The sequence below is a fragment of the Homo sapiens genome, chromosome 17, assembly GCF_000001405.40.
Source record: "Homo sapiens chromosome 17, GRCh38.p14 Primary Assembly".
NCBI classification, from domain to species: domain Eukaryota; kingdom Metazoa; phylum Chordata; class Mammalia; order Primates; family Hominidae; genus Homo; species Homo sapiens.
The window spans coordinates 14,321,405-14,336,495 of NC_000017.11; the positions used below are offsets into that span (position 1 = coordinate 14,321,405).

The 15,091-nt window shown below is 43.6% G+C and overlaps 1 protein-coding gene across 3 annotated transcripts in view, besides 1 other annotated feature; it reads left to right on the forward strand.

The window, feature by feature from the left end:
- The window catches only part of HS3ST3B1 (heparan sulfate-glucosamine 3-sulfotransferase 3B1), a 48,324-nt gene that overhangs the window by 20,324 nt on the left and 12,909 nt on the right, over positions 1-15,091 (forward strand). The window contains exon 1 of one of the 3 annotated variants that reach the window (XM_017025479.3): positions 3,437-9,588. The exons of the other annotated variants lie outside the window; for them this stretch is intronic. The gene's annotated coding sequence lies outside the window, so the exon portion shown is untranslated. Of the gene's footprint in view, positions 1-3,436; positions 9,589-15,091 lie in introns of those variants that run through there. 3 annotated transcript variants of the gene reach the window in all.
- Positions 2,089-2,640: an enhancer, noted in NCBI's record as "NANOG hESC enhancer chr17:14226810-14227361 (GRCh37/hg19 assembly coordinates)". NCBI's record gives its function as "activates a minimal SCP1, AML or CMV promoter by ChIP-STARR-seq in naive H9 embryonic stem cells {active_cell/tissue: H9 hESC(naive)}" and the evidence as "EXISTENCE:reporter gene assay evidence [ECO:0000049][PMID:30033119]".

Sequence of the window (15,091 nt, forward strand, 5' to 3'; positions counted from 1 at the left end):
CTTCTAAAGATGGATTGAGCTTGACTTCTGGCCTCTGAACCTTTAGGATCAGCTCTCTTTTCCATTTACACACTTCGTTTATTTAAAGGGAAGAAGGAGGGCAGAGGGGATAGCCCTGGGTCGGTTCGTGAGCTCACGATACCTGTAAAGCACATTGTGAAATTCCAGTTCTTTCCAGCTGGGTTTGTATCACCAGCAGAGCCTTTTAGGTGAGCTGCCTTGAGCAACCCTGGCCTGTAATATTAGTTCCAGGATGTGGGTAAGTGGTGTTTTTCTTCCATAGAACACTGATGGCGGTTGAAAAAAAAATACAGGCTAAAGTACATAAAACAGAATAAGAATTGGGAACGAGGAATGAGGGCTGTGGTTTGGAGAGGCTAATCTAGTTATTTTCAGTTTTGTGATCATTTGTTTCAGTGGGACTGAGTGAAAAATGAACTCCTAAAATAAAGGCATTAGTGCGGAAGTGCAAAGAACTAGTAAGAGATTTAGCTTCCACTTTCTAAATTAATTTTTCTCTCATATATATATATACACACATCACCATCATTATCATCATCATTATCATTATCATCATCATCTCTTTTATATATATATATATAAAGTGCTGTTTATTTCATTATAATTTATAGGCCCTATAATTCCAAAAAATTAATTTAAACCCAAACCTTTTTTTTTTAATTGTCGGATAGGAAAAGAAGACAAAAACCTCTTTAGAAAGGGGGTGAGTAATTAGAGATGAGTCAGAGGTGGGATGGTTACTATATTTGAGCATTTTGATCTAGGAGGTTCTTAGAAATGTAGAGAAGTGGGATGAGCATGAGACTCAGAGTTTCACATTCTGGATTTTGAGTCCCTGCTTTGTTACATTGCCCAGTATTTGATCTGGGGCCACTTAATCTCTCCTCTCTCAGCCTCACCGTCCCATTCTCTAAAATGAAGGAAACAACCCTTCATTGTTATTACATTGAGCCAGTGAGATCCTGAACGTCTAGTCCTTTGTGGCAGGTAAAGCGCTCTGCAACTCTTAGAGCTGACATCATGATGGCCAAGGCAGGGAGAACCATCTTCTGATAAAAGGTTTGCCTCTTTCCAAGGGGTAAACTTATTTTTCTGTAGCATGAACTTTGAGTATTGGACTGGTATCTTTGCGACTTCACAAAACTGTGCCGACTCATCATTTCAATGCTTAATAAAATATAAAGGCAGATCCCATGTGTATGTATTGCAGGCAGAGTGTTTGGGTGGGCCTAAGTGTTATGCTAACCTCCCAGATGGCCGAAATCTAGAAAACCTGGAAGAGTCCATGTCCTCTCTCCCCCATTCACTGACCCCTAACACAGATCATGTCAACCAGGCTTTTGACCAGCAGAACAACCAACCCGTGGCTGGTGGACAGCTGCTGGGCTGTGCCAAGGCTCTTAATCTGGGCCCACAGTTGCTCTGGAGTCTGTGAATCTCCTGAAGTTGAGAAGCGAGATTTGTGTCTATGTCTTTTTTTTTTTTTTTTTTTTTTGTTGAGACAGAGTCTCACCCTGTAACCCAGACTGGAGTGCAATGGCGCAATTTCGGCTCACTGCAACCTCTGCCTCCTGGGTTCAAGCGATTCTCCTGCCTCAGCCTCCTGAGTAGTTGGAATTACAGGCACATGCCACCATGCCCGGCTAATTTTTTTGTATCTTTTGTAGAGACGGGGTTTCACCATGTTGGCCAGGCTGGTCTCGAACTCCTAACCTGGTGATCCACCTGCCTTGGCCTCCCAAAGTGTTGGGATTACAGGCGTGAGCCACCGCACCTGGCCGTGTATATGTCTTATATCTGCATTTTGCTGCAAAGAGGGTCCATCCCTTTACTCGGATTCTCCACAACTCATAAAAGCTCCAGAGCTCTGCTCCTTGGGTACTGCACTGGGGAATTTGCATACCTTTTTGTAGTCAGCAAGGGTAGCATTCTGTCGTAATATTTAACAAGGCCTATTTCTATTCTGAACAAGTGAAGAATCATGTATCTTCAGAGGAAGGAGGAGCCCAGGAAAGGGGATCCTTTTTAAAAGCTGTGAGAAAGCTGTGAATCAGGTCCATAGTCATTTGGGGTACATTTCTTAGGACAATTCCTGGGTCCATCTTATATCCCCACTTTTGGTTTGCTTCTTTAACCGTCATGTTTTATGTGCTTTTTTTTTTGTCTCATAAAGAAAGCTATCTCAATTCCAGATGCATTGAGATAACTTCATATTGGGTGTGAGGAGGCTGATAACTACACCAGCTTTATAGCTTTGTGGTCAGTTGATTCCATTCCTCAGTTTGTTACCTGATAGTCCTGACTGTCTCCAAGTGACAAGTGAATCGATGTGCATTTAGCAAACCCAGGAAAACATTGTCTTTGGAGAGGTTTGAGCTTGATTAATCTCCAAAACGTGCTAATGGGGCAATAGAGAGCTCAGCTCTTGTTCTCTCCTTCAGGTGGTGTTTGCCTGTGAGCTTAGTGCCCTATGTTCCCAGCCCAGGGAATTGGAAATTGATTCATTTGGGAAAGTAACAGCTTAAAGGTCTTTATTTGATTTTGTCAGAGAATAGAGAACACCGCTGAGCTTTTCAGAGAGAGGCAGTAATTATTCTTGGTGCACCCCCGACCCCTGCCCCCAACCCCAACCTAGGCTGATTCGTCTGCCCAGAATGAGCCTTTCTGGACCCAGGAGCCCTTTTCTCGCTTATAATCTGGGGTTATTCTTACCTTCTCTCAGTTTTGATCTGTTTTTACACATGGAGACAGGACGTAAATCTTCATTTGTTTATAACATTTCTTGGATGAACACCTAAATTCTTCCTCACCCCTCACCCTCAAAACTTCCTGGGTTACTGCTACTTCTGTGGGTGAACACAGAGTGCTTCAGTGTCATGCCCTCCATCAACTTTGCTTAAAAATTGAGGGTGCTCCTTGTCCCCACTTCTTTCTCCACATCTAACCTGTCAGTGGCTTTTCTTTCTATCTTCCTTTAAAACGTTTGTTTGTTTATTTATTTATTTTTAGAGATAAGGGTCTTGCCATGTGGCCCAGGCTGGTCTCGAACTCCTGGCCCCAAGTAATCCTCCAGCCTTAGCTTCCTGAGTAGCAAAATGTTTAGAATTAGCTGCCCCTTCTTTTACATCCCCACTGTCCCCTCCCCATTCAAATCTACATATTTCGTTTATTTTTATCTATCGTTTGTTTTTTAAAAATATATTTTAGAGACAGGGTCTTGCTCTGTTGCCCAGGCTAGAGCACAATGGTGTGATCATAGCTCACTGCAGCCTCCACCTCCTGGGCTCAAGTGATCCTCCCGCTTCAGCCTCCTGAGTAGCTGGGACTACAGGCACACCATCACACCTGGCTAATTTTTAAAAATTTTTGTAGAGATAGGGTCTCCACTGTGTTATCCAGGTTGGTCTTAAGCTCTTGGGCTCAAGCAATCCTCCCATCTTGGCCTTCCAAGGTGCCAGAATCATAGGTGTGAGCCACCATTAAGGCGATTCTTAAAAATGATACATAAAGCACAGAGAGCACATAAAACATGACAGTTAAAGAAGAAAACCAAAAGTGGGAATATAAGGTGGACCCAGGAATTGTCCTAAGAAATGTACCCCAAATGACTATGGACCTGATCCACAGCTTTCTCACAGCTTTTAAAAAAAGAAAACCTTAATTACACAAATCACAAAAACAAGCTGTTTGCTGAAAGGGAACCATGACTGTTCTTGGTATTAAGCCGAGGGGCTGGCATAAAGAGATTGCCATGGGGCAATGGCTACTGGCACAGATAGGGCCCCTCCAAGAAGCACATGGTTAATCCAGCCTTTTTGTTAAAGGATATTTTTCTTAGAAAAAGGTAAAATCATGCTCTCATCAAGGTATACAATGAGTGTGTTAAAAACCTTATTTCGCTCATTATTAATGATGGAACCAGGCAAATGTTACCATTGGTTCAAAGGAGAAGTCAAAAGAATACAAATTTACTTGGACTTTAATTAACAAATAGATGAGAAACTGACTTCTTCCACTGAGTAGGAGGTAGAGAAAAAAGTCCAGAGAACTCCCACCAGAAAGAACTTATTTGTATATCTCTGGTCAAGAATCAAGAATTATATTGGATTGCTATATTGCTGTCTATATAATTTAGAAAGTTGCAGAGTCTCTCAAAAGCAATAAAAGGCTGGAGTCAGATAATCAGCGAGCGTGCTCTAAACAGTGCAAGTTTTCCACTGGAGACACCTAGTGATCTTTTTTTGCTTATTCCAAATTTCTTTACATTTTAAAAATACTGGTCTTAGTAGGCTCGCGGAGTTTATAATCAGCTCAAAGCCTAAGCCTGTTTAAGATACGCTGCTGGTAAGTGCTGGCTCCCTGACGCCTAACAAAAGATTTTGATGCCGCCAACCTCCTACATTTTATGTGGCTTCTCATTGCCTCAGAGGTCAAATCCAAAATCTGTCTTAGCATTTGTTCCTGCATTTGTTTACTCTTCCTTTATCTAGCAACTGTTTATTTTTGCCACAGTGCAAATAAGCCAGTCCTCACCCCCTTGGAGGACTGCTATAGTAGATGGATAGAGGTTATGATGACTCTGTGTGTGTGTGTGTACGTGTGTGTGTGTGCACGCACGTGTGTGCGTGTGTGTGTGCATTTTCAGGAAGGATGTTGGGAATGTAATAGTTATGAAAAAGGAACAAGGAGTGTATAGAAATATATTAGAAGAAGGAGGTCCAGAAAGAATAGTCCAGGAGGAGGGAAGTCCATGGGGGCCAAGAAACCTCATGATCCACTGGAGAAACCACAGGTGCTTCCTGATAGCTGGGGTGAAGCAGAGTTGGAAGGAGGGTTGGAAAGAGCGAGGGAGGAACTTAGAATTCCCTTGGAGTGAATTCATATATGCCCTGCCAGGGAGTTTGCAGGTCATTCTCAACACAACGAGAAGCTATGAACATTTCCAGATTTGGCTTTTGGAAAGATGTCTGTGGAAGCAAGGGATGGAGGGATGGACAGAGTGGATGAGGGTATTCCCAGCCTGTTTTCCAATCCATTTTTCTAACCTTATTTGCCATCATGTCTTAAAAACAAATACAAAAACAAAAAACAAAAACTTCAGTCCAGGCTAAGTGGCCCAATGGCTGTCTCATTGAGTAGGCTTTGTTCATGTTCCTAAATAGGAGCATCTTTTGTTCCTGATTTCTTCACTTCCACCTACTCTTGGGGCAGGCTCAGGGGCCGTGGCTCACGCCTGTAATCCCAGCAGTTTGGGAGGCCGAGGCGGGTGGATCACTTGAGGTCAGGGGTTTGAGACCAGCCTGGCCAACATGATGAAACCCCATCTCTACTACAAATACAAAAAAACTAGCTGGACGTGGTGGTGTGCACCTGTAACCCCAGCTACTTGGGAGGCTGAGGCAGGAGACTCGCTTGAACCCGGGAGGTGGAGGTTGCAGTGAGCAGAGATCGTGCCACTGCACTCCAGCCTGGGCAACAAGAGTGAAACTCTGTCTCAAAAAAAAAAAAAAAAAAAAAAAAAGAAGAAGAAGAAGAAGCTTCAGTTGTCCCGAGCACAACTTCTGGGTGCCAATTTTTCACGTTTCTCATTTTCGAGTCAAGTGTATAATATCTCTTGACTGTGTCTGGAATTTCTCTCAACATAAACGGTAAGTCCCTGGAGGGCAAGAATCATCCCGATCAACAACACACACTGGCCATATCACTGACTCCTTCATCATTATGACAAATATTAAAGTTGAATTCGAGTTTCCTTTCCTCTTGCTGCTACCTAGGAGGCATTTGCCATCACTTGAGGGATGCTTGGGAATGCAAACTAACTTTAATAATAATTAAGGCAAAATAATAAGTAATAATTAACACAAATCTGCTAATTAGTGCAATTTTTCTCATTGTTATTAACTGTAACCATTTATTAGTCTGAACAGATGTTGATTACTGGCCACCAGAGGTAAAGCATCCCAAGTTCAATGGGGGGAGATGGGCTCAGAGTTTGCTGTGATCCACAGGTAAAATAAGGAACTCTGATCTTATCACATTTGTTGTGTGTTTTTGCTTAGCATTTAAGTTCAAGACTTTTATGGGTATAGCCACTTAATGTCATTGCGTCACTTAATGTAATGGGTGTGATGATACATGTATGTGTCATCTTTGGACATCTTTGGACATCAGGATACTGGGACCATCACCCTTTTGAATCCTGGCCCCACCTGTTTATTATTCCAAGTTGCCCTTGATTCACCCCTGAGTTTCTTGACATATTTGCATCATGACCTCCAGTCATTAGCTTTAAGCCTTGCTAGTTGATTCATTTTCTTTCATTCATTTATTTGTTCATTCAACAAATATTTTCAAGTGCTTGCGATGCCTGGTGTTTTGCTGTTTTTCTTGTATTTTTTTAAAGATAGTCTTTAAAACTCACAGTCTAAACAAATACGAGACAAAACATGGAAGGCAATAAGCTGCAATTAAAGATTTTGTTTTTGGAAATGGTCATTAGGCTTAAAAATAGTCACAGGGTCAGTTTTTCACGAAGCCAATGCAGGGTAAAAGGCTAATCTCACTTGTAATTCTTAGCAGCTCTCTCACTGATGGTTTAGTTACTTAATCTCCTTGGTGTTTACTGTGTCGTTCCTTACGGGTGAAGAATGGGAGATGAACGGGAATGCTTTGTCTAAAGCACAGAAGAGTTGCTGGAAATTTTAAGACTCACCAGTCAGGCAACATCATCTATCAAAAAGTTCTCATAGAATGTAACAAATAATCATGGAACCTACTCAAATAATGCAGAACCTTTGTCCATAGCTTCAGGCCTCCAATGCTTTCCTTCTCTCTTTGGATGTGAAATGCACAAGGCAGGTTGGACTCTGTATACTGATCTGTTGCAAAGGTATCGGGCTTTTAGAATAAATGGTTGACCATGACAATGAAAAGATGAGAATGTAGGGAGGTTGGGCTTACTTTTCTCCTGCTGAAAGTTGATTCCGGGTAGCATCTGAACTTCACAAGCTGAGAATTCCAATAAATCCACAAAAAGAATTCCCCTAGGGAAGGGGGTGTGGACTTTAATTGATGATGTCCAATTAGAGTTTCCATTGACATTGCCATGTCTCTTGTTTTCTTGAGACATCTCTTGGTCACCCTCAAGCATATGTACAAGCCAGTTAGGAAGAAGTAAGTACTGATGACAAGAAGGAGTGTGAGATGAGAAACAGTAGCCTTTTCTTTGTCTGTAGCATCTCAAGTTTTATAGTCTCTGGGATCTTCTCTCTGATTAGAAAGTGCTTCTTTTCCACCTGGCAAGGTGGCACACACCTGTAATCCCAACACTTTGAGAGGCTGTGCTGGGTGGATTGCTTGGGCCCAGAAGTTTAAGACCAGCCTGGGAAACATGGCAAAACCCTGTCTCTACAAAATAAAATAAAATAATGCAAAAAAAGAGAGAGCAACTGCTTCATTGCTTTTCTAAAACGTTGTTGAGCTATTTAAAGCCTATGATAACGGGGGTTTATTTGCACTTACTTCCCTTCATTTTAGTTGAATTCAAGCTTATGTCTTCAGATTTTTATTGACTTAGTTACCTTATACTGTTTTTAGTGGATTGCCGTGAAGTAGGGTTCTGTTGGTTGAGCACAAGGGAAGCAGAGAGCTGGATGGAGCCATTATCTCAGACTTAAGTCAAGCGCTGATTGAAATTTCTCTTGTCCCAAACTCCTAGTGGTCCTGCACTCAGGAGATAGGGAAGGTCGCTGACGATACTGAGTCTTTTCCACAGTGCTTGCTTCTTTTTAGCAGCCTCAGATGGATCCCTGCCCCTAAACTGGGGCTGTTTCTCTCCTTCTCAACCTAATTGTGTGCCATGAGGAAATAAAGAAAGAAAGAGAGAAAGAGAGAAAGAAAGAAAGAAAGAAAGAAAGAAAGAAAGAAAGAAAGAAAGAAAGAAAAGGAAGGAAGGAAGGAAGGAAGGAGAGGAAGGAAGGAAAAGAGAGAAAGAGAGAGAGGAAGGAAGGAAGGAAAGGAAGGGAGGGAGGGAGAGAGAGAGAAAGAAAGAAAAAGAAAGAAGAAAAGAAAGAAGGAAAGAGAGAAGGAGAAAGAAGAAAGAAAAAGAAAGGAAAAGAAGAAAGAAAAGGAAAGAAAAGAAGAAAAGAAAAGAAAAGAAAGAGCTTGTGTTAAAAGCTGCCTAATTTCCCATTCCTCCTTGGCTGATCATCTAATTCATTCAGTGATGTCAACCCCAGAAGGAGACTCAGTTTTTCTTTGTCTCCAACATCCTACAGGGGCACTAAGAAGGAGGGCACCAAAAATGGAATGCTTCATAGCACAAGGGAAAAATTACAAGAAATCCAAACTCTTTTAAATATTTGTTGTTACTTGAACCTTTAAATTTAAAAAACGATTTTATGTCTCTTCTTCCTTAACAGCATTTCTCTCATCCAGAGCCAAATGCCAACGGAGACATAAAGAGGGGGCACAAGTGGGATTCATCCCACCTTACCCTTAGGTAGGAATTTGCTGCTTTCAGAGTGTATTCATCTACAAACTACACTGGATTCTTGGAAGAATTTTTTTGTAAAAGTGGCAGGACAAATGTTATCCTTTTACAGATGAGGAAAGATGGCACAGAGACGTTGTGCACTTGCCTGAGGCCACACAGCCTGACCTTGAACTCCACTTTTCTTTTGATTCACCAGGCTGAGTGCCTCATTTTAAGGTACATTTGACATTGAGCATCATCTGATGACACCTCCTGGGGGTGGTCTGTACCAATGCCCTTGGGGTGCGTTTTGTACGTATTCAAACACCAAATATTTATAGAGGTTCTACTTAATGTCTGCCAGCTTGTGCCACCCTACTGCTGGCTGTAGGAGGAAGTGGTATGTGGGGAGGGGTGGGAGAAAGGGTGGTTATAATAACTTTAGAGCTGAGGAACACCCTTTTAAACCAATCCATTAATTTTTACACGCGGAGAACTGAGCACAAGCTTTTGAGTGTCTTGTCCAAGTACCTGTTGTCTGTGGCAGGGCAGGAACTGGAACCTAGAGTTTCATATGCCCAGTGCCCACTCTGCTTTCATTCTGAGCATTGGGCAGCCCCTCCCCTTGTCCTGTTTCTCTCCTGGTTTCCCGGTGTGTGTGTGTGTGTGTGTGTGTGTGTGTGTGTTGCTTGCGGGTGGAGGTTTAGTGATTTTCATCAACTCTGTGTTGACTGGTGTTGCAGAGTGTTTTGCAAGCTCTCTGGGTGAAGGCCAGTTTACAAACATTTACACTGTGCTACCAAGGGTACAAGGGAAGGCTGCTTTTCTTGGGAATGAAGCTGGGAGCAGGGAGGGGACTACAGAGGCATGCGAAAAAGAAAAGAGAATTGCAAGCTGCTTGCTGGAGGAATGGCCCTTTGTTGCCAGGGAAGTAACCCACATAGGGCTGGAGCCCCACCGACCCAGAAAAAAGAACGGTGTTAGAGACCGGGAAGCTAGGACTCATCAGAGACAAAACGTTGGCCCAGCGTGTGCAGAGAAGAATCTGTCCAAGCAGGAAAGAGCAGAACTACTTCAACTGCAGCTGGATTTTGGTACCCTCCTCCCCTTCTTTCTGGGTACTCAGCTCTGTCCCGCCCCTGCCCATTGGCAGCACTGATTTTACTTTCTAAAAAGTCCGCTTCCCAGAAAACTCTTGTTCTTTCTTTATAATGATTTTATTTTTAAGTTGGATTTTGTTTTGCTTTTTTTTCCCCCTAGGAAATAGGACACAGGATCATTGATTTCACAGGATTTGTCCCGGCATAAACAGGAGTTTGTAAGGTCCTGTAAACAGGAGCAGTACCCCAGAGAGCTCACCCGCAAAAGACTATTAGCTTTTAATTGAAACCCTCCCTCCACCCCCACCCCCAGCCCCTTCCAGGAACAGGAACAGGTGGCCATTGTGAAGCGGGGCCTATAACCGAGGATTCTGCCCCAATGAAAGGGATCTTGAGTTGACCCAGAGAAGCGAGATGCTCTTTTGAGCTCCACCCCCTTATGGTATTCAAGGGCTTTTCATTTTCTGAGCAGTATTGAAATTCTAGGACAATGGAGGCCAAATCCTTGTGGTGGGGGTTGGGGGCTGGGCGTGGAGAAAGGAGAGAGGGCCTGGAAGAGGAGGAGGGCTCGGGAGTCCATCCCTTGTTATTTTTCTTCTTTCCTACCCATTACCTTTAAAACATTTAAAAAAGGAAAGAGAAAGGCCTAGTAAACTTTTAATGAATAATGACATCACTTCCGGGAGCCCCACGGATCCTGCTGCGAAACCTGAAATTGAGAGCCAGTAACTATTTACAATTTCAGTTCAAATTATTCTAAACCCTCCCAAAGGAGTTCTTTGATATGCAAACATCTCCCCCAAATGGAGATAATTATTTATGGAGATGTGGGCCTTTGAAGGGAGTTCTCAGAAAGGGTGGCTTTGAGGCTTCCTAGGAAAGGAAGGAGGTTCCAGATAAGGAGTGGCAGGGCTGATACACATCTTCTGCCCAGCCTCCTCCCGCCAAACCCCACTCCCTGGGATGAAAGCTGCTTTAAAGAAGAAACTTCCCGGAGTTACAACTTGCAGTTCAAATTACAGCTCTCCTCTGTCATTGTCCCCATGTCTATGTTAAGTTTTCTGGGAAAACTTCCTTTTCGCATCCCTGGCTGGGTGTCTTATCTTTCAGTAGATGAAGAAAGGGGAGAGGAGAGACTGTAACCTTTGTCTTTTTGACCCCTGAGGTTCCCTGGGATGTATAAGGTCATGTAGAAAGAGCCCAGGCTGTTTTTGGGGGGTGAATACTTAAGGTTAGTACATTGGCTTTCGGAGAAGACAGTAGTTTAGGCCATGCTTGCTATTACAGAAAATGCTGTGATTAGGACTGTAATGACCTTGCGGCCTACTCTTTCTTTTTCCCTTGGATTTTCTTTTGAAAATGCTTTAACACGTTGGTCTGAAGTACCAGATGCCCTCCCCCCATAACCTGCCAGCGTCTTCCACCTCTAGGACTTGCCTGGCAGCTTGGAAGTTTGCTTCTTGGAAGCATCCTCTACCCTCCCCCATTCGCAGCTAACCTAAAAGTCTGCAACCGCTCCCACCGCCCGTTCAAGCTGGTCACCTGAGTAGGTGGAATGGAAATCTTTCCTGGAATGGAAAGATTGAGCAACTGGTCCACGGAATGCGGAGACTGAAATAAGCCCTCAGCTTCCATCCCACCGGTTCTTGGGTCCCTCATTTCCCTTATTATCGCACTTCCTTCCCCAAGGAACAGAGCAGGAGCTAAGGATCCAGCTCCAAGCAGCTGAGGCCAAGGAGCGGCTTGGGCAACCCCATTCAGCACGGTGAGGGTACAGAGCAGAGTCCCTGATAACTGATGGGCATCCTTTCATAAAAGAGGACCTTTTATCTTTTTTTTTTTTTTTTTTTTTTTTTAATGTCGTAGGTTAAGACGTGCTAACTGACAAATCTCAGTTGTAAAACTGAGAAGGGTTTTTCTTTTTCCTGAGTGCTTGGCGGTGGTTGCTAGGGGTTTCGAGACCAGCAAAGCTGCGCATGCTCCCTGCTCCCCAGGAAGAGCCCGCAGCTCCAAGAAACCAGGTGATGAGAATAATACCCATGATGTTGGTCTTGGTTAAGGAGTGAGACCCTGTGCGTCCCCAGAGGAGAAAATGATTGTTCTCGTAGGAAAGAAACTAAAGAGAGATGGGATCTGTGAAAGAAAACCAGAGCCATAGTAGTCAAAGCGGTATAAAAACAGATTTTAGGCCGGGCACGGTGGCTCATGCCTGTAATCCCAGCACTTTGAGAGGCCGAGGCGGGCGGATCACGAGGTCAGGAGTTTGAGACCCGCCTGGCCAATATGGTGAAACCCCGTCTCCACTAACAATACAAAAAATTAGCCGAGCATGGTGGCAGGCGCCTGTAGTCTCAGCTACTCGGGAGGCTGAGGCAGGAGAATCGCTTGAACCCGGGGAGGCACAGGTGGCAGTGAGCTGACATGGCACCACTGCACTCCAGCCTGGGTGACCGAGTGAGACTCCGACTCAAAAAAAAAACAACAAAAAAAAACAGATTTTGTTCAACAACTATTGCAACAAAGGAAAAGAGACCTCAGAACTGGCCTCAGTTCTTAATACAGCATAGACAAGTGGGGATTTATAGCCAAGGTGCTGTGGGTGAGGGGGCGGGGTAGGGTGTTGGGAGGAGTAGGGGATGTCTTCGGGCAGGGGGTGAGAGGTTATCAGTGGTTGGAAAATTACTAAGAGGAATCATCAGGGGTCGGGGGATTCTGGCTAAACCCACCTAGCCAGATTCTTACTGAAGACAGGCCAGGGTGACCCAACATCACCTGGGGGATAGTAGAGGCTGAGAACCTTTTTTTTCTGAGACAGAGTCTCGCAATGGTGTGATCTTGGCTCACCGCAACCTCTCCCGGGTTCAAGCGATTCTCCTGCCTCAGCCTCCCCAGTAGCTGGGATTACAGGCATGTGCCACCACGACCAGCTAACGTTTCTATTTTCAGTAGAGGGGTTTCTTCATGTTGGTCAGGCTGGTCTTGAACTCCTAACCTCAAGGTGATCCACCCGCCTCAGCCTCCCAAAGTGTTGGGATTACAGGCGTGAGCCACCGCGCCCGGCCAAGGCTGAGAACCTTTAAATATCGATGGTGATCAGCTATGGAGGATGGGGTATTCTAGCTAAACCAACTCAGGAGAATTATTGCTAAAATGGGACATTGCAGAGGCAAAGAGAATGACAAAAGTTGAGGCGTAGTTGAAAAGTTTGGGGGAGCCTGAGTCGTTTGATTGGGAGAAGAATCTTTGCTAGATTCCAGTGTTTTTTCATGGTTTTTTTTTTTTTAAATTGACTTTATTTTTAAGAGCATTTATAGGTTCACAGCAAGATTGAAGGGAAGGTACAGATATTTATTTATTTATTGAGATATGGTCTCACTATGTGGCTTAGGCTGTAGTGCAGTGAATGTTCAGAGGAGCAATTATAGCCAGTACAGCCTCAAATTCCTGGGCTTAAGCAATCCTCTTTCCTCAGGGCCTCTGAGGAACTGAGATTACAGGCGTGCCAGCACACCAGGCTCATCAGGGATTTCTTATATACTCCTACTCAACCCCTACATGCATAAACTCCCCCATTATCAATATTTCCTACCAAAGTGATACAATAGATGAGCGTACATTGACATCTCATTATCACCCAAAGTTCATAGTTTACACTGGGGTTCACTGGTGGTGTTGCATAATCTATGGGTTTGGACATACGTATAATGACATGGAAGCTACATGATATTTTCCTACAGGGTAGTTTCACTGCCCTAAAATATTCTGTGAATCATCTCTTTATGCCCCTCACCCAACCCCCAGGATCCCAGTGTTTTCTTTTTGAGTTTAGCTGCTGATGTTTGTCGGTTTATCAGGCACTCAAAAAACTGCACTCTCTATTCCCTTTGCTCTTTTTAAGGGGGCATCCTTATTTCCTAGACAGATTTGTGACTGTGTAGATGCTGGGAACATGTTTTGCTTTGGAGTGGGGAGGGGGGAAATCTTGTAAAGATTTCTCTTTGTCACATTTTTGATTTGTGAATTCTCAGAGGCTGGACCTGGGCTTCCTGGAAGGTAATGCAGATGTGACGTCACAATTTCCTGTCCCGTGCTCTTGGGATTGGTGTGAGAATAGTTTATCAGAATGGGCTGACCTTCTGCAGATTCCACTGCTGAACTAATTTTATAGATGAGGAAGCTGAGGCCCAGAAAGGCCCAGAAAAGCTGAAGCTCTTGGGATTGGTGTGAGAACAGTTTATCAGAATGGGCAAAACCTCTGGAGACTCCACTGCTGAGCTAATTTTACAGATGAGGAAGCTGAAGCCCAGAAAAGTAACCACTGGGACATGCCGATTAGGAGCAGATATCTTCAAAAAAATAACTTGTCTTTAAAGAAAAAAAAGCAACAGTAAATATATCAGTTATATGAAAATTTGGCCAGATGCGGTGGCTCATGCCTGTAATCCCAACACTTTGGGAGGCCAAGGAGGGTGGATCAGTTGAGGTCAGGAGTTCGACACCAGCCTGTCCAACATGATGAAACTCCATCTCTACTAAAAATACAAAAATTAGCTGGGCATGGTGGCGACACCTGTAATCTCAGCTACTCTGGAAGCTGAGGCAGGAGAATTGCTTGAACCGAGGAGGCGGAGGTTGCAGAGAGCCGAGATCGCACCACTGCACTCCAGCCAGGGCAACAGAGCAAGACTCTGTCTCAAAAAAAAAAAAGGAAAAAAAATTTCTATGTCTCTATTGATGATTCTTTCATGTCAATCAATATTTTCCCCAAAGCAGTGTCAAAACAAGGATTTGGGCAACCTTTGGCCCTTTCAAAGGGAACTTGTAAAATCTTCATTGGAAGAGGCTGAATAAGTGGATTTGGGGGAATGCTAGAATTGTTCTCTATCTTGATGATAGTGGTGGTTACACAATTCTATGCATTTGTCAAAATTCTTGGAACTGGACACCAAGAATGATTTTTACTATATCTAAGTTAAACAGTAAGTTTAAAAAACGAGAAAGAGTCTTTGTTGGAGTTCAGAAAACGTGGGGTATTTCTGCAACTAAACAAGGAAGTCATTTTCCTAACGGGCCAGGAGAAGTGGGTGGGGTGAATGTTTCCCTTGCTCTTCCCAGTTTTCCTCAATTGACTTGGAAGACTGGGCCTACCCCAACTCAATGTGGGCTGCAGCTTGCTCTCCTCTCTAAAGCACATTAACTTCCATCATCTGTTTTACGTAAATTTCCAGGCATCTGTTTGCCTGTTGTGAGTTAGGTTACGCCCATTTCAATAATCTTTTTTATTGTTGTGTAATTTACCAGTTCAAACAGTAACTTCAATTGCTGGGCTATAGGAGGAGGGATATCACCCGAGGAAAGGAAGAAGCAGAAGAAGATATTAGGGCAACATTTGGTACTGGGTAACATCAGAATTATAGGGCTTTTTAGAACTGCTCTGGTTCATTTTAATTTCCTACGCCTTTAGCCTTCAAGGTTGGTTTTTAATAGTCCACTTCTA